The sequence below is a fragment of the Homo sapiens genome, chromosome 13 (assembly GCF_000001405.40).
Source record: "Homo sapiens chromosome 13, GRCh38.p14 Primary Assembly".
Classification (NCBI taxonomy): Eukaryota; Metazoa; Chordata; class Mammalia; order Primates; family Hominidae; genus Homo; species Homo sapiens.
In genome coordinates, this window is record NC_000013.11 from 33043233 (window position 1) to 33066384 (window position 23152).

Sequence of the window (23152 nt, forward strand, 5' to 3'; positions counted from 1 at the left end):
TTTTTTTTTGAGGCAGCATCTCACTGTGTTGCCCAGGCATACAATGGTGTGATCTCGGCTCACTGCAACCTCTGCCTCCCAGGTTCAAGGGATTTTCATGCCTCAGCATCCCAAGCAGCTGGGACTACAGAGGCGTGCCACCACACCCAGCTAATTTTTGTATTTTTAGTAGAGATGGGGTTTCACCATGTTGCCCAAGTTGGTCTCGAACTCCTGGCTTCAAGTGATTCGCCCGCCTCAGCCTCCCAAATTGCTGGGATTATAGGCGTGAGTCACTGTACCCAGCCTGTTGCCAGTATTTTTAGTTGTAGGCATCTTAGTGGGTGTGAGTGCTCGTTGGGGTTTTAATTTGCATTTTCCTGATAGTGTTGATGTTGAGGACATTTCTATGTGTTTACTGAGCATTGGTGAAGATTCTCTTGTGAAATATCTATTCAAATATTTTGCTCATGGTGGGAAGGGGAGTTATTTTTCTTTTACTACTGATAGGTAGGCTTACGTATTTATTTCGGATATAATTATTTTGTCAATTATATACTAATCATAAACAAAAACTGATAAATTGGACGACGTCAAAATTAAAACCTGCTCATCAAATGTTAGCGAAATGTAAAGGCAAATCACATACTGAGGGGAGATATTTTAATATATGTATATTTATATAGTGCTTTCTGTGTTCTAAGAAGTATTTTCCTACTCCAAGATAAAGAGACTATTCTCTTACATTTTGTTCTATAAGTTTTATAGTTTTAGCTTTTAGCTTTGGATCTATGATCTGTCTCAAATTTTTATGCAAGATTGGGGTTTAATTTTTTCATACACTTTTCCAGTTGTCAAGGATCATTTGTTGAAACGTCTTTCCTGTTGCCACATAATTGCTTTGATGCATTCGTTAGAAATCAGTTGGCTGTGGGTTTATTTTGGAATTTTCTGTTCTGCTCCTTTGATGTATTTGTCTATCCTTATGCCAATATCACCCTATATTAAATAATTATAGCTTTATAATAAGTCTTGAAATCAGGTAATGTGAATGTTTCAACTGTGTTTTTCCTTTTTCTAGTTATTTTAGCTGTTTTATGTTCTTATTGTATATATTTTAGAATCAACTTATTCATTTCTACAAAAAGTTTATTGGGATTCTGGATGAGATGGTGTTGATTCAGTAGGTCAATCTGGGGAAATCTGATAACAATATTGACTCTTCCAATCCATGAAAATGGTATCTCATTCTTTATTTACATATTCTTTAATTTCTGTTAGCAATGTGTTATAATTGTAGCAAACTTGCACATCTTTTGTTAAATTATTTTCTAAGTATTTTACGATTTTGGTACCACTGTAAGTGGCATTGTATTTAAAATTTATTTTCTGTTTGTTTTCTGTTCATATATAAATGCAATTGATTTTCTTTTTTTTTTTTTTTTTTTTTTTTTTTTGAGACAGAGGCTTACTTTGTCACCCAGGCTGGAGTGCAGTGGCGTGATCAGCACTCACTGCAGACTTGAACTCCTGGGCTGAAGGGAGCCTCTCACCTCAGCCTCCCAAGTAGCTGGGACTATGGGTGTGAGCCAGTGTTCCTGGCCAAATGCAGCTGATTTTTGTATTGACATTGTATTCTGCCAACTTGCTAAATTAACTTATTCGTTTTAATAGTTTTTCTGTTTTTTTAAAAATCTTAGGATTTCTACACAGACAATCATGTTTTTAATGAACAACAAAGTTTGTTTTTTTGTTTGTTTGTTTTTCCCTTTTCAATCAACATGCCTTTTATGTTTTTATTTGCCTTACTGCACTGGCTAGGACCTCCAGTACAATTTTAATAGCAATGGTGAGAGTGTTTAAATGTACTCCTGTGTATATTTTATTCTTTTGGAACTTATTATAAATGGAATTGTTTTCTTAATTTTCTTTTTGGACTGTTCATTGCTATTGTACAGAAATACAACTGACTATTGTGTGTTGATCTTGTACCTTGCAATTTTGCTGAAATCGTTTATTTTTTGCAATAGATTTTTGTGAATTCTTTAGGATTTTCCATATGTAGAATCATGTTATCTGTGAATAGGGATAGTTTTACTTCTTTTCTAACTTGGATAGTTTTTTCCTTCCTAATTGCTCTGGCAAGAACTTCTAGTACAATGTTAGAGAGCAATAGTGAAAGCAGGCATCTTCCTTTCAATCCTGATGTTAGGGGTGAAGCTCTCAGCCTTTCACTGTAATGTTGGCTGTGGATTTTCATAATTTTTTGTTTGTTTGTTTTTTTGTTTGAGACGGAGTTTCTCTTGTTGCCTGGGCTGGAGTGCAGTGGCGTGATCTCGGCTCATCACAACCTCTGCCTCCTGGGTTCAAGCGATTCTCCTGCCTCAGCCTCCAGAGTAGCTGGGATTACAGGTGCCTGCCACCACACCGACTAATTTTGTATTTTTAGTAGAGACGGGGTTTCTCGATGTTGGTCAGGCTGCTCTCGAACTCCTGACCTCAGATGATCCGCCCGCCTCGGCCTCCCAAAGTGCTGGGATTACAGGCATGAGCCACCACGCCCGGCCCATAAATGCTTTTCTTAATCATATTAAGGAAGTTCCTTTCTAGTCGTAGTTTTCTGAGTGTTTTTATTATGAAAGACTTTCAGATTTTTGTAAAATGCTTTTCCTGCGTTAATTGAGATAATCATATGGGTTTTCTCCCCCTTTACTCTATTGATGTAATGCATTACAACGATTTTTTTTAATGTTTACCCATCTTTGCATTCCTGGAATAAATACTAGTTGATTGTGCTGTATAATTCTTAAAATATGCTGCTGGATTTGTTTTGTTAGTATTTGGTTGCATTCTTTTGCATCTATATTCATAAGGGATATTGATCTGTAACTATTATTTTCTTGTGGTGGCTTTATCTGGCTTTGGTATCAAGATAATGCTGGCCACATTGGCTAAGTTAGAAAGTGTTCTTTCTTCTATTTTTTGAAGAGCTTGAAAAGAGTCGTGTTAATTCTTCTTTAAATATTTGGTACAATTCACTATTAAAGCCACTAGTCCTGGGCTTTTCTTAGTTTGAAAGTTTTTGATTACTAATTCAATCTCTTTTACACCTAGATTAGATTTTGTATTTTTTCCTTAGCCACTTTTGGTAATGTGTGTGCTTCCGGGAATTTGGCCAGGTCATCTCTGTTATCTAATTTGCTGGCATCCAAATGTTCATAATGTTCTCTTGTAATCCTTTTTATTATAGAAATGATATACAGAAAAGGTCAGTTACCACTTTCTTTTATGATTGCATTAATTTGCTTCTTTTCTCTTTTTTTCTCTAGTCAGTCTTGCTAAAGGTTGGTCTGTTTTGTTGATTTTTTTCAAAGAACCAACTTTTGATTTTGTTGATTCTATAATTTTTCTGCTCTGTATTTTGTGTATATCCATTCTAATTTTTATTAGTTCCTTTATTCTGTTAGCTGTGAGTTTAGTTGGCTCTTCTTTTTTATTTTCTTAAGGTGGAAGACTAAGTTATTGAGATATATCTTGTTTTTTTTTTTGATGTAGGTATTTAAAGCTATAAAATTTCCTCTGAGCATTGCTTTTGCTGCAATTTATAAGTATTGGTATGTTACATATTCAGTTAGTTTTTTATATACACATTTAAGCTTTTGCTAATCTACCTTGTGATTTCTTCATTGACTTATTGCTTGTTTGAGTGTGTCAACAATTTCCACGTATTTGTGAATATTCTAGTTTTCCTTTTGTTATTGATTTCTAGTTTCATTTCATTGTGGTAAGAAACAATACTTTTTATGATCTCAACAGTTTAAAATTTATTAAGACTTATTTTCTGGTCTAACATATGATCTATCCTGGAAAATGTATCATGTGCACTTGAGAAAAATGTATATTCTGATTTTTTTAGGTGGGTGGCATGTTCTATTAATATATATGTCTGTTAGCTCTAGGTGAATTATAGTGATGTTCAAAGCCTCCATTTTGTTATTAATATAACCATGCCAGATTTTTAATGCTGTCCATTTGCATAATATGTCTCTTTCCATTCTTTTTCTTTTACATGATCACTTTATATTTATAGTATATTTCTTGCACACAGAATGTAATTGAAACTTACTTTTCTAAAATCTACTTTCTTTTTTTTTTTTTTGAGATGGAGTCTTGCTCTGTTGCCCAGGCTGGAGTGCAGTGGCACAATCTTGGCTCACTGCAATCTCTGCTTCCCGGGTTCAAGCAATTCTCCTGTCTCAGCCTCCCGAGTAGCTGGGATTACAGGCACCTGTATTTTTAGTAGAGACGGGGTTTCACCATGTTGGTCAGGCTGGTCTTGAACTCCTGACCTCGTGATCCACCTGCCTTGGCCTCCCAAAGTGCTGGGATTACAGGCGTGAGCCACTGCACCCAGCCCCTAAAATCTGCTTTCATAGCATCTGTCTTGTACTTGGAACATTTAGTCCATGTGTATTTGAATATTTATTGATATGTTTGGGTTTATGTTTACAATCCTGCTATTTGTTTTCTTTTTGTTCCATGTGTTTTTTGTTTTTTATTTCTGCATCTTTTGGAAAAATCAGATTTTTTGGTAATTCATTTTTCTTATTTTATTGGCTTTTTAGAGAAACCTTTTAATATCTTTGTGAGTTTTAGGGATTACATTATTTATTCTTATTATTATTCCATTTAGAATTAATATTGTTAATCCCATTCAAAAATTTGTTTATTTCGCTTTTCAGTTCTAGAATTTTCATGTTTTCTTCAGTTGTTGTTTCTCTGTTGTTATTCTCCATTTGTTCATTATATCTATCTTTTCTTTGAAATCCTTAAAAATATTTATAATAGCTATTTTAAAGTCCTCTGCTAATCCCAATGTCTGGGACATCTTGGCTTCTGTTGATATTGAATACTTCTTTTTTTCCCCTTAATTAAGGGTTTCATTTTCCTGCTTTTTCACATATCTAGTAGATTTTTATTATGCTCTGTGTGCTATGAATGAGATATTATAGGAAGCCTGGTCAATATTGTCTCTTTTTAAAGGGTGTTGTATTTAGTTCTGCCAAGAAGTTAAATTACCAGATTTACTTGATGTGGCTTTAGTCTTTGTTAGAGCTGGTCTATTCCTGCTTTGTTCTTACTTCTCAGGTAATGACCTTCCTGAGTTTCAGCTGGATGCCTGAAGTGCTCAGCTGCATTTTTCTACTCTGGCTATTCTGAAATGCAATATTTTCCAGACCTACCCAACCTTTGGTATTCATCTCCCAGACCTGTGGCTGCTTCTCTTTGCTGAGCCTCACAAAATCTTGTCCTGTGCATGGACAGCCAAGGATCCTTGGGAAATCTCATGCAGACTTCTAGGTCCTTCCTTTGTGTAGATTTCTTCTCTCCAGTACGTTGACCTGCTTCAGAGTCCTCATCATTGCTTTCTTCCTTTTCAGCTCAGCAATACTGCTGTGTATTGTGTGGGCTTCATTTGCCTCAGCCATACCTAGAACACAACCCAAGGCAGAAAGCTGGAGTGGACCTGAGGCTCATCACCTGTTTCCTTCCACCCACCATTTAAAAGCAGCTTATTTGTGTGAAACTTTTTGTTGGGTTCTGTGGGGGATACGTATAGGCAAATGACAGGGAGCTTATAATTTAGCCAAAGAGAAAATGTCTATATGTTCTGTGGAATTCAGAGTATTTTCCTCGACTTCCAAAATTATTTTCCTCGACTTCCAAAATTTGGGGCTACTAGCTAGTTGGTAGGAAGGAATTCCAGATCCATTTTTCTTCTAGATTTTTTTCAGACTCCATGTTTCAAAATCTAGATGGAAGGTAAGAAGGAAGCAAGGAGGGCATCACATACGAGAGAGACTTATACCCCAAAGTGGATCATTAGCACATTATGAGATAATATGGTATTATTCTCAGAGGCCTGCCATATAAAATTCCTTCTAATTTATTTTTTAATGGTATGTGCCTGAAAGTTTTCTGTCTTTCATGATCTTGAAAGCAAAATAAGAACCAGAGTAGCTTATGAGAGAGTTTTCCTGCTTCAGCCCAGAAAAATGTTGCTTCTGTCCTAGACCCTTTGATCTGGTTCTTAGTGCCAGCCTTCATTCCTCTAGATCTGTTTATTGAATACTGGCTCTGTTGCAGAGACTTTGCTAGAATCTGAGAGATAAAAGACTCAATGCCTTCAAAACACCTACAATCCAGACACTTAAATAAATGCAATAATATATGGTTAAGGTCTTGGATAGAGGACCATCATAGAAACACATAGAACAGACATTTAGTCCATGCTAGGGAGAGGGAAGATGTCAAGGAATGCTTCCTGGAGGTGGCGACATCTAAGCTGAGTTTTAAAGTGGGTGTAAGAGTGAAGGAACTGGGAATAGGCAAAACATACCTTAGAGAGCTGCACCTCCAAAGCATGGAAGGCTAGATAATCTTAGAACTTCAAGTGGGGTTCAATGTGCCTGGGACTTGGATTTCAGGCAGAGACCATAGGGCAAGTTGGAGAACAGGTGGGCAGGGTGAGATGAAGCAGAGACTTTTAATAACCATCAAACAGGCCTGCCATCCAACTGCTATCAGCCATTTTCCCTTTTTGAATTTTATTTTTTTAATCTCTAGAGCAATACATGTTTATGGTAGGAAATGAAAAAAATATATAGATGGGTAAAATGAAGTGAATTATACCACCCACAATCCTGCTGTAAAACAGGTTTTAACAAGTTATAAATCCCTCCAGATCAAAGTGCTACTAAACTCTACTTGCTATTTTATAACCTTTTTCTGTTCAGAGTATTTTAGAAACGTTTTTACATGTTAATTGATATTCTTTTGCATTATCCTGAATAATGGTATTTCTTTAGTTATACTATCATGTATTAAAACATTCATACATGGTAAACATATTTGAATATTAGACATTTCAATTGTTTTCAATGTTTGGCTATTAAAAATAGTATTTAGATGAATGTTCTTGGCCATACAGTTAATAACTTCACTGAGTCCTTGTCAATAACTTTATTAAATCCCAATCTTAAGACAACAAGCCTATAAGATTAACATACCAGGAATAATTAGAAAGCATTGCAAGACTATATGTAACCATCTCCCTGTTAATCATCCTTATTTGTTGCAACATCCTAAATAGCGACCTTCCCACACTCTGCCTCATAATATTTAATCTGTCAAATGTACCATCCGCAAAGGGAGTGAACTGGCTCGTGAAGAGGTGGTGAAGCTGGTTCAACTCAGTTTAACAGACAATGAGGGCCTCCGTGTGCCAGGGAGGGAGTGAGGGAACTCCACAGGGAGCTCATTCTGGGGAGGGATGCCCCTCATTATCTGCAGTAAATGATATTAGAGAAGTATGTGTGAGACTCTTGGTGTCCAGAGGAGGGGCATGCAGCACAGTATGGGGGTCCATGGGGTTGCAGCGATTTCTTAGAGACGGTGCCATGCCTGGGATGACCACCAAGTTAGGATGCTGTAAAGAGTAATCAAATAAGTTTCAACAGGGTTTTGGCATGAGGTGAGCAGTTAATCCAAATGATATCTGAAATGCTTTCTAATGCTGCAAGTGTATTCCTCTGTAAAATAATCAACTACTTAAAAGACACTCTCACTTGCATTATGTCATTTAATCCTCACAGTGTCCCTACGGGACAATAGATGTCATTCCCACTTGTACAGAGCAGTAAGTGAGGCTCACACCGGTCATAGTTAGAGGAGTAGGGAATCTAAACCTAAGTCTCTTCTACTCCAAACCCCAAGTTTTATCAGTATGTCACATCGCTACTGTGGGCTGAATTCCTTAGCAGGGGTTGTTTCCTCCACCTGCAATATTCTTCCTTTTGGTTTGTTCATCCTCTAGAGAGAGAAGGGATACGCATTCATGGAGATCCTACTGTTGCAAACTCTGCATTAGGAGTTTTACATGAATTGTCTCATTTAGTCCTCACAACAGTCCTGTGAGGCACAGGAAAGTTAGATTTACCTGCCCAAATTAAGGAATGTGGCCAACTCAAGAGTGACGAAGGCCAGGTGCGGTGGCTCATGCCTGTAATCTCAGCACTTTGGGAGGCTGAGGTGGGAGGCTGAGGATCGCTTGAGCCCAGGAGTTTAAGACCAGCCAGGGCAACACAGCAAGATTTAATCTCTACTAGAAATAAAAAAGAAATTAGCCAGGTGCCTGTAGTCCCAGTTACTTGGGAGGTTGAAGTGGGACGATTGCTTGAGCCTGGGAGGTAGAGGCTGCAGTGAGCCATGATCCCATCACTTCACTCCAGTCAGGGTGACAGAGTGAGACCCAGTCTTAAAACAAAACAAAACAAAAAAGAGTGATGGAGCAGGAACTTTATCTGCCATCAGAGACCATATATGTCTTTCCTTATGGCCCAGGTCATTTATCATGTCCTTGCTAAACCTCCTCCTCTGAGCCTTGTTAAAGTCCTCAAGGTTAGAAGAGTGGTCTATAATTATAAAAAATTCCATTGTATGACTTCAGCTACCTGCAAAACTGACCGAGATTAATGCATTCTTTGTTTGCTTTCACTCTTTCATTCCCTGTTCAGCGCTTATTCTACAGAAAGGTGCCTGGTAGATTTAGGACATGACTGTTCATAGGCCTCAAATGCGGTCAAATTAGGAAAGTCCCCTGGTTTTTGGTCTCAAGAGGTTAATTGCTGAGTACTAGCCTGGACTGCTCAATGGATTTTATGTTTAACTGTTGTGTTTATTTGTTTGTTTGTTTTTGTTTTGTGAGACATATCTTTCTCTGTCACCTGGGCTGGAGGTCAGTGGTGTGAACATGGCTCACCGAAGCCTCCATCTCCTGGGCTCAAGTGATCCTCCTGCCTCAGCCTTCCTAGTAGCTGGGACTACAGGCACACAGCACCATGACTGGTTAAGTTTTGGATTTTTTGGTAGAAATGGGGTCTCACTCTTTGCGCAGGCTAGTTGTGAACTCCTGGTATCAAGGGATTCTCCCAATGTGCTGGGATTTCGGCCTCCCAAAGTGCTGGGACTGCAGGCATGAGCCATCATGCCCAGCCTCTGTTTAACTGTTAACATCATGAGGTTTCCTTTCAATGAGGAAGGGAGGCCTGGGGAGGTGTGATGGGGAAGATGGAGAAGGGTAGGAGACATCATAAAACTGACAGAAGTGTGGCACGATTAAGACCCTGGTTTCTTAGACCACATAAGCAAGTGCCACTATTCTTTTGATCAACATTTGATTCTCTATTTCCTTCTTAGCATATAGATAGCTGCTTCAGGTCGTGAAAAAATACATTTAGTGAAATGAAACATAGTAGATATGTTCACCAAGAAACTAAAAAGAAAAGTTAGCCACAAACTATCTTATTTCATTGAAATGTTTGGCTGAACCCATAAGAATGTTGATGAGGCCATTCTTGGATGCCTGTACTGAAATGAACCACGAGAGGAATATTTAGGATATGTTGAAGAGGCTGTTTGGCTTAATGAACAAAGGAGTTTCTGCAGGCCCAGGGAGTGGAATGAAAATTGGCATGATCATTTTGGAGAATATATGGAGTCAAACAGAGAATTTGAATGGAGTTTTCAAAGAGGATATGTTAGGGGAATAAAGGCTGATAAACAACACTTGTATTTGTAGGAAAATAGGGAGAGTAAATCAAGGAATTCAAAGAGAAAGAGAAACTCACTTCAAGTAGGGGAGAAAAAACCCCTATAATTTTCACTCTTCCTTGTAAATAAAAAGGAAACAAATGAAAATAAGATATTAGAAGTCAGTAAGAATTTATGGGAGTATAAAGTTGGTTTTATGGATGCAAAGCCCTTTTCACTGCTGTACGAAACTCCTGGCTGCATGCTAACAATGGACAACTGATTTCCTTGCAGCTGTATTTTGCTGTTTTTTGCTCTTGGCTTGGACCTAGCACCCTGGGTCTGTGGGAAACCAGAACTGTCCCAGAGTTCTGGAGGGTAGGCCAAGGTTAGATGCTGGAGTGGGTTCTTTAATTTATTGTACTGATTCTTCTTGGGAAGAAAGAAGATTGCTTGTTAGAATTTTAGCTACGAGAGATGACTATGAAACAGTAAATTAACTCCAACGACCTGAGTCATTTTGAAAACTCCCAGTCTCAGGATAAAAAATATAATCCTATTTAGAAATTCCTGGTGTGATCACAGATGTAGCATTGGTTCTTTTCATGAAACCCGTAAATTAAAAAGTACATAATCCAAAGTCAATTAAATAGTAAGCTATTATAACAAATTCTTTTATTTCATTAGCTTTTCAAAATGTGGATAACTACACACTCAACCCAAGGAATCTACATTTTTCCACTGACTGCTAAAGACCAATGGAAATAACTCTAGTCCCCGTAGCACCTCACTGTGGGGTGACCTACCTTTGAAATAATGTATTGGTTCTAGCTGATTTTTATATTGTTAGTCATTAAGTTAGGCTTGATGAGAAACAGATATAATCTGATTTGGGGATTCAAGTATTATATTGCATTTCTCCTCACAACTAGAGATAAATTTGCCATGGTTTTTCTCTTCATAGGCTCATGCCAAAGTCTGGCATCTCTACAATACTTCTTTCCGTCCCACTCAGGGAGGTCAGGTGTCCATTGCCCTAAGCTCTCACTGGATCAATCCTCGAAGAATGACCGACCACAGCATCAAAGAATGTCAAAAATCTCTGGACTTTGTACTAGGTTGGTTTGCCAAACCCGTATTTATTGATGGTGACTATCCCGAGAGCATGAAGAATAACCTTTCATCTATTCTGCCTGATTTTACTGAATCTGAGAAAAAGTTCATCAAAGGAACTGCTGACTTTTTTGCTCTTTGCTTTGGACCCACCTTGAGTTTTCAACTTTTGGACCCTCACATGAAGTTCCGCCAATTGGAATCTCCCAACCTGAGGCAACTGCTTTCCTGGATTGACCTTGAATTTAACCATCCTCAAATATTTATTGTGGAAAATGGCTGGTTTGTCTCAGGGACCACCAAGAGAGATGATGCCAAATATATGTATTACCTCAAAAAGTTCATCATGGAAACCTTAAAAGGTATGATTGTGGGTAAAGTTCTCATTTCCTGCCAAAATCTTCTGGAAAAAAATCTCTAAGATTATCTAACATAAATGATGTGAATTTATATTTTTAAATCCTAATGGAGACATTCATTTTGGCAATAGTAGAATGCATTCATTTAACACCTTTCTCATTTGGAGTCTTGAGGAACTTGAATTAATTTTTAAAAACCCATTTGTAAATGAGAAACTGGGTTATAATATTTGTAATTACTTAACTTTCAGTTATTAATCTAGATTTTTAGATTAAATTGAACATAAAACAAATCCCAGGATATCTAGCTCTCTGCACATGTTTTTCAGTTCTTGTTATTTTGGTTGAATAAAACACTTTAAAGAAAAAGGAATGTCCATGTTTTCTAGAGAAAATAGTATAAATAGATCATGCTTTTAAAGCCTTCATTTATTTATTTATTGCATCAGACACAAAGCTGGGTGTCTAGGATGGAAAGTGGTACAAGACATCTTTCCAGCCCTGTAGAATATCTATTATAAATAAGGAACTATTTTTTCAAGGTGCTCAGAAATCCAAAAAACATATTAGATAGGCCAATTTTGAGGGCATTTATTTGTAGAGTTATATAGGTTTGATTAGAGTCTTTCGTCAAGAAGAAAAATCATTGGCTTACCAAACGAGAAGCATTACACTTTATTTATTTAAGTAGGAAACGCTCAGCTGCTCTTGAACCATGATGCAAGTGCCCAGCGAAGGGTCATGTTGCTCTTGTCCCCTCTTCCCTTTGCAGCCATCAAGCTGGATGGGGTGGATGTCATCGGGTATACCGCATGGTCCCTCATGGATGGTTTCGAGTGGCACAGAGGTTACAGCATCAGGCGTGGACTCTTCTATGTTGACTTTCTAAGCCAGGACAAGATGTTGTTGCCAAAGTCTTCAGCCTTGTTCTACCAAAAGCTGATAGAGAAAAATGGCTTCCCTCCTTTACCTGAAAATCAGCCCCTAGAAGGGACATTTCCCTGTGACTTTGCTTGGGGAGTTGTTGACAACTACATTCAAGTAAGTCAGCTGACAAAACCAATCAGCAGTCTCACCAAGCCCTATCACTAGTAAGTAGTGCTTCCTTCCTAGGCTGATTGTCATGGCACATTGTCCGTTCTTTGAGCCAAAAACAATTCCTTATGAGTACACTAAGGGCACAATTTGGAATGCTGCACCCTTCTCTCCAAAACTCTTCCAATCTTCATCTTGTTTAAGTTAGATCCAAAGATAAATAAATTTAAAGCATATCAATATTTAAGATCCGATTAAGACAGTAAAAAGATAAAACACTCTCTTTTCATACTGTGGTTTTTGATCCTTTTTAAGGCAGTTGAGTTTTTTCATGAACAGGATCTAACACAGAACTCCAAAGCCTCTGAGTTTCAGTGGTGCTGCTGAGACTGAGGCAGGAACATTAGGCAGAGTCCTCCAGAGGCACAACTGTGGGCTCCACAAATGTGCAGAAATACCCTAAGAAAGTAAACCCTAGATCCAATGATTCACTGGTCAGAATGTCTTTTTTAGCAATAGTCATTGAAATGATACGAAATTTCTTCAGAATGATCAACCAATATTTATTGAGCATCTTCTCAGTAGTAAGCCCTTAACATTCTTTCAGACTTCCTAAATTTTGAAGGGGCTTGTTTTCCAGCATTTGACTGGATACTCTAGTAAGCACTTATTGGATGTCTAGTGTGTCCGAAGCCTTGTGTTAGTTGCTCGGGTCGCTTGGTTAAGGGGAGTGCAGGTAGAGGGTATACTGAGATGAGTAAGGGTAACCTTTGCTTTCAAAGGAGCAAAGGAGTCTACTGAGCGAAAACAATGTATGCACAAATGATGCAATGGAGTGAAGCGGGCATGGTGGTAAGTAACAAGGGCGGGGCTGGGGGATTGCTGCTGATAGAGTCCCAAGTGTGAAAATAGCCCTCAAGACAGAGACAGAGTTCAGTGTCCATAGACAAGCAGTTGGCTTTGACATGTTGGGTTATGGTAGCCAATTAATTGGTTCTGCAAATCACAGCTTGAAAGGAAACACTTGGAAGAATGTGAAATGGGTTGCTGTTTTCTTGTAAATATCCAATTGAAATCTTTTATTTATAAGGAAATAAATTAACACCATCCTTAGTACATTTTTTGCTGGTTGGGATTATTCTTCTTTTTCAGACCACCCAGTTCATTTTACAGGCAGTCTCAGACTTAAACCCTCGCCTTCCATTTAAAAGATGACTGGCTCACGCCTGTAATCCCAGCACTTTGGGAGGCCGAGGCGGGCGGATCATGAGGTCAGGAGATCAAGACCATCCTGAATAACACGGTGAAACCCCGTCTCTACTAAAAATACAAAAAAAAAAAAAAAAATTATCCGGGTGTGGTGGCGGGCACCTGTAGTCCCAGCTACTCTGGAGGCTGGGGCAGGAGAATGGCATGAACCCAGGAGGCGGAGCTTGCAGTGAGCCGAGATTGCGCCACTGCACTCCAGCCTGGGTGACAGAGCAAGAGTCCGTCTCTTAAAAAAAAAAATGACTGGATGTGTCATCTTTTATGCCAGGATATGTGAGCCCAGGAGAAAGGCTTCTGAGCTCCCTCCTGCTCGGTGTGCAATTTTCTGCCCTGCCCCGACTCTCTCCTTCTCTCCCAGCCTCCTGCTATTTGAAATCTCCTTATCCTAATTTCCCTCCTCAGAGTGGATTCCACTGTGGGGTTCAGAGAGGATCTGAGGTGGGAGAAGTGAGGCTGGTGAGGAAGAAGGGGAGGAGAAAGGGAAGAAGACCTCCGTAGCCTTCCTTCCTCCTCCTCTTTACTGGGGTTGGGGATAGATCGGATGGTCCCTGGTCCTTGTTCTATCTCTTGACCTTCTGCCTGCTCCCTGCTGAGCACGGATCTCTGATAGCAGCCTGAGTCTGGCAGGTTCAGTCCTTTGTATGCGGCACAATCTCCCAGCCAGCATTGCTGTGCAGATCATGGGAACGAATGCAGAACAAGAGTGGGGGTGTCGGAGGGAGCCCTACTTCTCCTGTTCTATTCCTCATCAGGGGGCTGTGCGCTGGCTTTGGGAATTGGTAAATAGTGAGAAAGTCTTAAGGGTACATCCTATTTCCTTGAGGGAGAAGAGAAAACGCTGGTCAGAAGCAATAAGTATAGCAGTGAATAGCAAGGGAGATGGGAGATAATTCCTTTTCCTACTACACTCTAGAAGCTATTGTTTTAGAATCTGACCTAAGGTCAGCCACTAATTGGCCCCAGAGGTCTCTCTCTCAGATCACACGGTCCTTTTTTCCTCATCAGCTTGGGGACCCCACCCCTCCTCCTGGCAGTCTCCTCCTGTGCAGAACCCAACAAACACAAAATTAAGTCACTCTCAAACCCACAGCAGATGAGAGCTTCTCTGGAAGCTCCCTGGTGGGGAAAGGCTGCAATTGCTATTTTCTTCTTCTGGTTTTCACCTCAGGCTTTGTGTTATATTGACAGTACCCTTCTCAAGCTAACTCCCTAACTGACCTGACGTAGTCAAAATAAGTTCTTTGTATGTCAGTTCTGAGGTGTGTGTGTTTTCACTTACAAACAGTACTCTACAGCTTTAAGACATTATATTAAAGTCCTGAGAAGTGATTTTTAAACCACTGAACTTCATCTTTTCCCTCCTGGCTAGTATTTCAGACTTTCAGTGTTTGAGGCATGCATTTCACCTGAACAACTTGAAAAATAATATCCTAAGAAGCACACAACCTGACTTTAGGCTCATTCACATGGATTGTCACTTTACTTGGACCCACTTTCTCGGCTGAGAGGTTTGTTTTCCCATAACCACGGATGCTCATAGTTAATATAAATATTGAACTCACTATGTAGTGAGGACATAGAGCCTCTTTAACATTGGTCCCTGTTAGGAGAAAGTTTCTCCCATAACATACTAAATACATGTTTTAATAGCCGTTCCTTCTGAAAGGTCCAACTTCACTATTTTATTTTTTTAGTAAAATCTTAGTTAACAAATTAATGGAGGTTAGGTGGAATTTTGCCCCAAAAGTCCTGTATTTTCTTTTTTTTTTTTTCTTTTTTTTTGACAGAGTCTTGCTCTGTCGCCCAGGCTGGAGTGCAGTGGCGTGATCTCGGCTCACTGCAAGCTCCGCCTCCTAAGGTCACGCCATTCTCCTGCCTCAGCCTCCTGAGTAGCTGGGGCTACAGGTGCCCGCCACCGCACCCGGCTAATTTTTTGTATTTTTAGTAGAGACCGGGTTTCACTGTGTTAGCCAGGATGGTCTCAATCTCCTGACCTCGGGATCCACCCACCTCGGCCTCCCAAAGTGCTGGGATTACAGGCGTGAGCCACCATGCCCGGCCTGTCCTGTATTTTCAAGAAACTTTTTTTTTCCTCCAGAAATGATACCCTAGTCTTTCATATTTGTTTTCAGATGGACTGAATAAAAGCTGTTGTTTTGGAACAATCACGGTTAAAAAAAAAAGTTATGAATTTAGTCAACTCAGAGCTCTATAAAAATAATCCAAAAAATTCCTTCAAACTCTGAACGCTTCAAAAGAGCGTGCAAATATTCTGTCCTTCAAAGCTAAGGAAACATGATTTGTGGGGTGCATCACAGTGGAAAAATACTCTGACAGCATTCCCACAGCATTAGGGGAAGTGCATGTGTGGGTGTTCTGCAAGGGACAATTCTCCAGAAAAGGCAATTTCCCTTTGACATGCTGTTTTTAATGACTTTTCTTTATAAACACACTTATCTCTCCAGAGAAATAGCAGTGCATTTGCAACAGGCCCGTAAAATGCAACAAAACCTCTGCTATGGTTTCTGACCCCTGCTTTTATACAGAGCATCAGACCAAGGAACCTGTTCTAACAGGATTATTTCAGAGGGGAACACAGGCTTAGGGTGCAGATCTTCCAGCTGGATTTTTCACTTTGCATTCCCTCCACAGCAGACACATGAAGGAATGATTTTGTGATTTTGATTTTATAATTTGCACACTTTTCCTAAATACTTTTTTTAAATTTTTATTTGGGAGGATTTTATAGCATATGATTGAGAACTATAATCATCATCATTGTTACAGAAGAATAATTTAGAAAAATTTTTTAACTACGTTAAAAATTCCACTATGGGTGGATGACAATATTGTTCTTTCCTTCCACATTCTCCCTCCTTAGACTTTCTTTTCTTTTTTTCTATTTTTTTTTTGAGATGAAGTCTCGCTCTGTCACTCAGGCTGGAGTGCAGTGCCATGATCCTGGCTCACTGCAACCTCTGCCTCCCGGGTTCAAGTGATTCTCCCGCCTCAGCTTCCTGAGTAGCTGGGATTACAGGTGTGCACCACCACACCTGGCTACTTTTTGTATTTTTAGTAGAGATGGGGTTTCACCATGTTGGTCAGGCTGGTCTCAAACTCCTGATCTCATGATCTGCCCGCCTTGGCCCCGCAAAGTGCCGGGATTACAGGCGTGAGCCACTGCGCCTGGCCTCTCTCTCGGACTTTCTACCATCAGTCAGATTGAATTTGTTAAATTCTGTCACTGACCCTAAACCCAACAAAAGGCAAGAGTTATGTTTATTTAGCACTTCCTCTACCTATAGCAAACCTCAATTTAGAGCGTAATTTTAAGCACAATTTAATTATAAATATCTTTTCATTTTCTTACTTAACTCACTCAGTTTTTTAAATCTTCTTTTTTGAGACAAGATCTTGCTCTGTCACTGAGGCCGATGTACAGTGATGTGATCATGACTTACTGCAGCCTTGACCTCCCAGGCTTAGGTGATCCTCATACCTCAGCCTCCCGAGCAACTAGGACTACAGGCCCGTGCCACCATGCCGGGCCAAGACGGGGTTTGGACGTGTTGCCCCAGCTGGTCTCCAACTCCTGGCCTCAAGTGACCCTCCCGCCTCGGCCTCTCAAAGTGCTGGGATTATAGGCATGAGCCACCGCACCTGGCCAACTCACTCACATTTTAAGTTTTTTCTTTTTTTCATCTAGTTTTTTTTCTTTTTAAATTTGAAAGCCTCATGACATTAATGATTTCTTACATTAAAAGAAAAACACCCAAAAATACTCTGCTTACATAACACCGACAAGTAGTGTGCAAGACTCATTAGCATTTGTCATCTGAAGTGACCAAATCCAGACTTTTGGGGGTCACATTAAAGAAACAGTTGAAGAGTTAGAACTATGGGTAAAGCGAGTGTGCATATCAGAAAGTGGAATATTGTCTTCCTCAGGAGCTGACAATTTATGAAAAATAGTTCACATTCTCAGCTAGAAAGGCTTCTATTTTTGCTCATATTCCTGGCTAGTTTTGCTGAAATAATTGCTTTGAATTACTTCCTCAGGACTGCCCAGGTGACGCTAATGTTTACTCTGCCCTTCACAGGTAGATACCACTCTGTCTCAGTTTACCGACCTGAATGTTTACCTGTGGGATGTCCACCACAGTAAAAGGCTTATTAAAGTGGATGGGGTTGTGACCAAGAAGAGGAAATCCTACTGTGTTGACTTTGCTGCCATCCAGCCCCAGATCGCTTTACTCCAGGAAATGCACGTTACACATTTTCGCTTCTCCCTGGACTGGGCCCTGATTCTCCCTCTGGGTAACCAGTCCCAGGTGAACCACACCATCCTGCAGTACTATCGCTGCATGGCCAGCGAGCTTGTCCGTGTCAACATCACCCCAGTGGTGGCCCTGTGGCAGCCTATGGCCCCGAACCAAGGACTGCCGCGCCTCCTGGCCAGGCAGGGCGCCTGGGAGAACCCCTACACTGCCCTGGCCTTTGCAGAGTATGCCCGACTGTGCTTTCAAGAGCTCGGCCATCACGTCAAGCTTTGGATAACGATGAATGAGCCGTATACAAGGAATATGACATACAGTGCTGGCCACAACCTTCTGAAGGCCCATGCCCTGGCTTGGCATGTGTACAATGAAAAGTTTAGGCATGCTCAGAATGGGAAAATATCCATAGCCTTGCAGGCTGATTGGATAGAACCTGCCTGCCCTTTCTCCCAAAAGGACAAAGAGGTGGCTGAGAGAGTTTTGGAATTTGACATTGGCTGGCTGGCTGAGCCCATTTTCGGCTCTGGAGATTATCCATGGGTGATGAGGGACTGGCTGAACCAAAGAAACAATTTTCTTCTTCCTTATTTCACTGAAGATGAAAAAAAGCTAATCCAGGGTACCTTTGACTTTTTGGCTTTAAGCCATTATACCACCATCCTTGTAGACTCAGAAAAAGAAGATCCAATAAAATACAATGATTACCTAGAAGTGCAAGAAATGACCGACATCACGTGGCTCAACTCCCCCAGTCAGGTGGCGGTAGTGCCCTGGGGGTTGCGCAAAGTGCTGAACTGGCTGAAGTTCAAGTACGGAGACCTCCCCATGTACATAATATCCAATGGAATCGATGACGGGCTGCATGCTGAGGACGACCAGCTGAGGGTGTATTATATGCAGAATTACATAAACGAAGCTCTCAAAGGTAAGGAGCCCTAGCTGCGGCTATCTCCTGAAGGTTATGTCACCAGAGGGCATGACACTTGATTAAATCTCCAACATCAACACACACTGCCACCCTTGGAATGGAGGGCTATCCATTTTGTGCCTCACTGAAACAGTCCAAGAGATATCTAGCATTTCCCCAAGGATAAAGGAGTGTAGCTAAAAGTAGAAGACCAGAAATCCCTAGCCCCTACTCTGGATCTATGCAAGCCTAGATTCTTGTCTTCCATCTTGGATGGCTCCACAGCAGTCTTAACTGTTTCATGTACATAAAGCAGTACATAAAGATTTAACCTTGCTGGGCATGGTGGCTCACACCTGTAATCCCAGCATTTTGGAAGGCCAAGGCAGGAGGATTGCTTGAGCCTAGAAGTTTGAGACCAGCCTGGGCAACATAGTGAGACCTTGTCTCTACTAAAAATCACAAAAATTAGCTGGGCACGGTGGCATATACGCCTGCAGATTCAGTTACTTGGGAGGAGAGGCGGGAGGATTGCTTGAGCTTGGGAGGTCCAGCTGCAGTGAATCATGATCACAGCACTGCAATCTGGCCTGGGTGACAGAGCAAGACACTATTTCAAAAAAAAAAAGACCAAGCATGGTGGCTCATGCCTGTAATCCCAGCACTTTGGGAGGCTGAGGCAGGTGGATCATCTGAGGTCAGAAGTTCAAGACCAGCCTGACCAACATGGTGAAACCCCGTCTCTACTGAAAATACGAAAATTATCCAGGTGTAGTGATGCACACCTGTAATCTCAGCTACTCGGGAGGCTGAGGCAGAAGAATCACTTGAACTGGGGACGTGGAGGCTGCAGTGAGCCAAGATTGCACCATTGCACTCCAGCCTGGGTGACAGAGCAAGACTCCATCTCAAAAAAAAAAAAAAAAAAAAAAGGATTTAACCCAAGTATATCATAGTAGATTGAATTATGTAAAACACCCATTTAACAACCAGGTCCAGGTTTGTTCTCTCTGTGTAGTAAATCAATCACTGTGACACAGGTTTTGCAAAAGAGAAAAGATTTATTTGTAAGGGGACCAAGCGAGGGGGTGGGAGAATAACTTCCAATCCTGCCTCTCTGAAGACAAGGCTTAGGAATATGTATGGGTTAGGGAATGGGTGGTCTAAGGCATGGTGAAGAGTGATTGGCAGGGGGGGAAAATGAAGTAACAGGTTAGACACATGCACAGAAAATGGTGGTGTTAGCATGATCTGAGGGCAGAGTTTTGGGCCCTCTGACGTCAAAAGACCACCTCTCAGGCACTTGTGCAGGCCCAGTGGAAGGGTCAGTGGTCTTAACTAGTTTGAACTGGACAGGAGCTGCCCCAAGTTCTTGGAAAAACAACTGAAGTGACCATTGCCATGGTAACCTATGAATGTCATCAGTAAAGTAGCCAGTGAAGGTTAAGTTTCAGCATACAATGGGACAACCTTCAGCTTCATGGAAAAAGGAAAAAAAAAAAACACATACACACACGAAAAGCAAGTGACCAAAAGCAAGCAGGACAGGCAGACCTGATCCAATTAACCCCTGGGTTTCAACCCTGCTAAATGCAGCTCAATATTTGTCTTGATAATTTGCCTATTTGGCTTTACATAAAATAAAGCCTTTTCTGATGAAATCTAATTGAGTCTGAAGTTGTATTAAATGGTATCGGAAACTTCCCAGCAGGAAGGCTACGTAAAAGTGGCCGGGCGTGGTGACTCACGCCTGTAATCCCAGCACTTTGGGAGGCTGAGGCAGGCAGATCACAAGGTCAAGAAATCGAGACCATCCTGGCCAACATGGCGAAATCCCATCTCTACTAAAAAAAAAAATACAAAAATTTGCCAGGTGTGGTGGTGCTCACCTGTAGTCCCAGCTACTCAGGAGGCTGAGGCAGGAGAATCTGTTGAACCTGGGAGGCGGAGGTTGCAGTGAGTCAAGATGGTGCCATTGCACTCCAGCCTGTGTGACAGAGCAAGACTCCGTCTCAAAAAAAAAAAAAAGTGATGTGTTGTGTGCAAAATACGTAATAACTACTCTCCTATCCTTTTGTTTTTCCAGCCCACATACTGGATGGTATCAATCTTTGCGGATACTTTGCTTATTCGTTTAACGACCGCACAGCTCCGAGGTTTGGCCTCTATCGTTATGCTGCAGATCAGTTTGAGCCCAAGGCATCCATGAAACATTACAGGAAAATTATTGACAGCAATGGTTTCCCGGGCCCAGAAACTCTGGAAAGATTTTGTCCAGAAGAATTCACCGTGTGTACTGAGTGCAGTTTTTTTCACACCCGAAAGTCTTTACTGGCTTTCATAGCTTTTCTATTTTTTGCTTCTATTATTTCTCTCTCCCTTATATTTTACTACTCGAAGAAAGGCAGAAGAAGTTACAAATAGTTCTGAACATTTTTCTATTCATTCATTTTGAAATAATTATGCAGACACATCAGCTGTTAACCATTTGCACCTCTAAGTGTTGTGAAACTGTAAATTTCATACATTTGACTTCTAGAAAACATTTTTGTGGCTTATGACAGAGGTTTTGAAATGGGCATAGGTGATCGTAAAATATTGAATAATGCGAATAGTGCCTGAATTTGTTCTCTTTTTGGGTGATTAAAAAACTGACAGGCACTATAATTTCTGTAACACACTAACAAAAGCATGAAAAATAGGAACCACACCAATGCAACATTTGTGCAGAAATTTGAATGACAAGATTAGGAATATTTTCTTCTGCACCCACTTCTAAATTTAATGTTTTTCTGGAAGTAGTAATTGCAAGAGTTCGAATAGAAAGTTATGTACCAAGTAACCATTTCTCAGCTGCCATAATAATGCCTAGTGGCTTCCCCTCTGTCAAATCTAGTTTCCTATGGAAAAGAAGATGGCAGATACAGGAGAGACGACAGAGGGTCCTAGGCTGGAATGTTCCTTTCGAAAGCAATGCTTCTATCAAATACTAGTATTAATTTATGTATCTGGTTAATGACATACTTGGAGAGCAAATTATGGAAATGTGTATTTTATATGATTTTTGAGGTCCTGTCTAAACCCTGTGTCCCTGAGGGATCTGTCTCACTGGCATCTTGTTGAGGGCCTTGCACATAGGAAACTTTTGATAAGTATCTGCGGAAAAACAAACATGAATCCTGTGATATTGGGCTCTTCAGGAAGCATAAAGCAATTGTGAAATACAGTATACCGCAGTGGCTCTAGGTGGAGGAAAGGAGGAAAAAGTGCTTATTATGTGCAACATTATGATTAATCTGATTATACACCATTTTTGAGCAGATCTTGGAATGAATGACATGACCTTTCCCTAGAGAATAAGGATGAAATAATCACTCATTCTATGAACAGTGACACTACTTTCTATTCTTTAGCTGTACTGTAATTTCTTTGAGTTGATAGTTTTACAAATTCTTAATAGGTTCAAAAGCAATCTGGTCTGAATAACACTGGATTTGTTTCTGTGATCTCTGAGGTCTATTTTATGTTTTTGCTGCTACTTCTGTGGAAGTAGCTTTGAACTAGTTTTACTTTGAACTTTCACGCTGAAACATGCTAGTGATATCTAGAAAGGGCTAATTAGGTCTCATCCTTTAATGCCCCTTAAATAAGTCTTGCTGATTTTCAGACAGGGAAGTCTCTCTATTACACTGGAGCTGTTTTATAGATAAGTCAATATTGTATCAGGCAAGATAAACCAATGTCATAACAGGCATTGCCAACCTCACTGACACAGGGTCATAGTGTATAATAATATACTGTACTATATAATATATCATCTTTAGAGGTATGATTTTTTCATGAAAGATAAGCTTTTGGTAATATTCATTTTAAAGTGGACTTATTAAAATTGGATGCTAGAGAATCAAGTTTATTTTATGTATATATTTTTCTGATTATAAGAGTAATATATGTTCATTGTAAAAATTTTTAAAACACAGAAACTATATGCAAAGAAAAAATAAAAATTATCTATAATCTCAGAACCCAGAAATAGCCACTATTAACATTTCCTACGTATTTTATTTTACATAGATCATATTGTATATAGTTAGTATCTTTATTAATTTTTATTATGAAACTTTCCTTTGTCATTATTAGTCTTCAAAAGCATGATTTTTAATAGTTGTTGAGTATTCCACCACAGGAATGTATCACAACTTAACCGTTCCCGTTTGTTAGACTAGTTTCTTATTAATGTTGATGAATGTTGTTTAAAAATAATTTTGTTGCTACATTTACTTTAATTTCCTTGACTGTAAAGAGAAGTAATTTTGCTCCTTGATAAAGTATTATATTAATAATAAATCTGCCTGCAACTTTTTGCCTTCTTTCATAATCATATGAGTGGTTGCTAGCTAATTTTTTTGTAATTAAAAAAACTTGAGTTGACTAAGCCACCTAAGATGTGATGGGAGCAGTGGAGAAATGGGTGTGACTGCAAGAGGCCTGACCCACGCGGCTGGAAGATGGTAGGGGTGGGAGGGCGACCCAGGCTAGGCCATGTGTGGAGCAGAGAGAATTTCAGAGATGAGACAGCGAAATACACAAGAGCTGAAAAGGACAAAACAGAAGCCAGAGCC

The 23152-nt window shown here is 40.0% G+C and overlaps 1 protein-coding gene across 4 annotated transcripts in view; it reads left to right on the top strand.

Annotated features, from left to right (window-relative positions):
* Positions 1 to 22911, top strand: part of KL (klotho) — a 49901-nt gene extending 26990 nt beyond the window's left edge. For 2 of the 4 annotated variants that reach the window (XM_006719895.3, NM_004795.4), the window contains exons 2-5: positions 10535 to 11045; positions 11815 to 12083; positions 17447 to 18548; positions 20617 to 22911. In XM_006719895.3, the coding sequence (XP_006719958.1) occupies positions 10637 to 11045; positions 11815 to 12083; positions 17447 to 18548; positions 20617 to 20954 (2118 nt within the window). In that variant the 5' untranslated portion in view covers positions 10535 to 10636 and the 3' untranslated portion in view covers positions 20955 to 22911. Of the gene's footprint in view, positions 1 to 10534; positions 11046 to 11814; positions 12134 to 14715; positions 15086 to 17446; positions 18549 to 20616 lie in introns of those variants that run through there. The other 2 variants (XM_047430776.1, XM_047430775.1) reach the window with 2 other exon arrangements.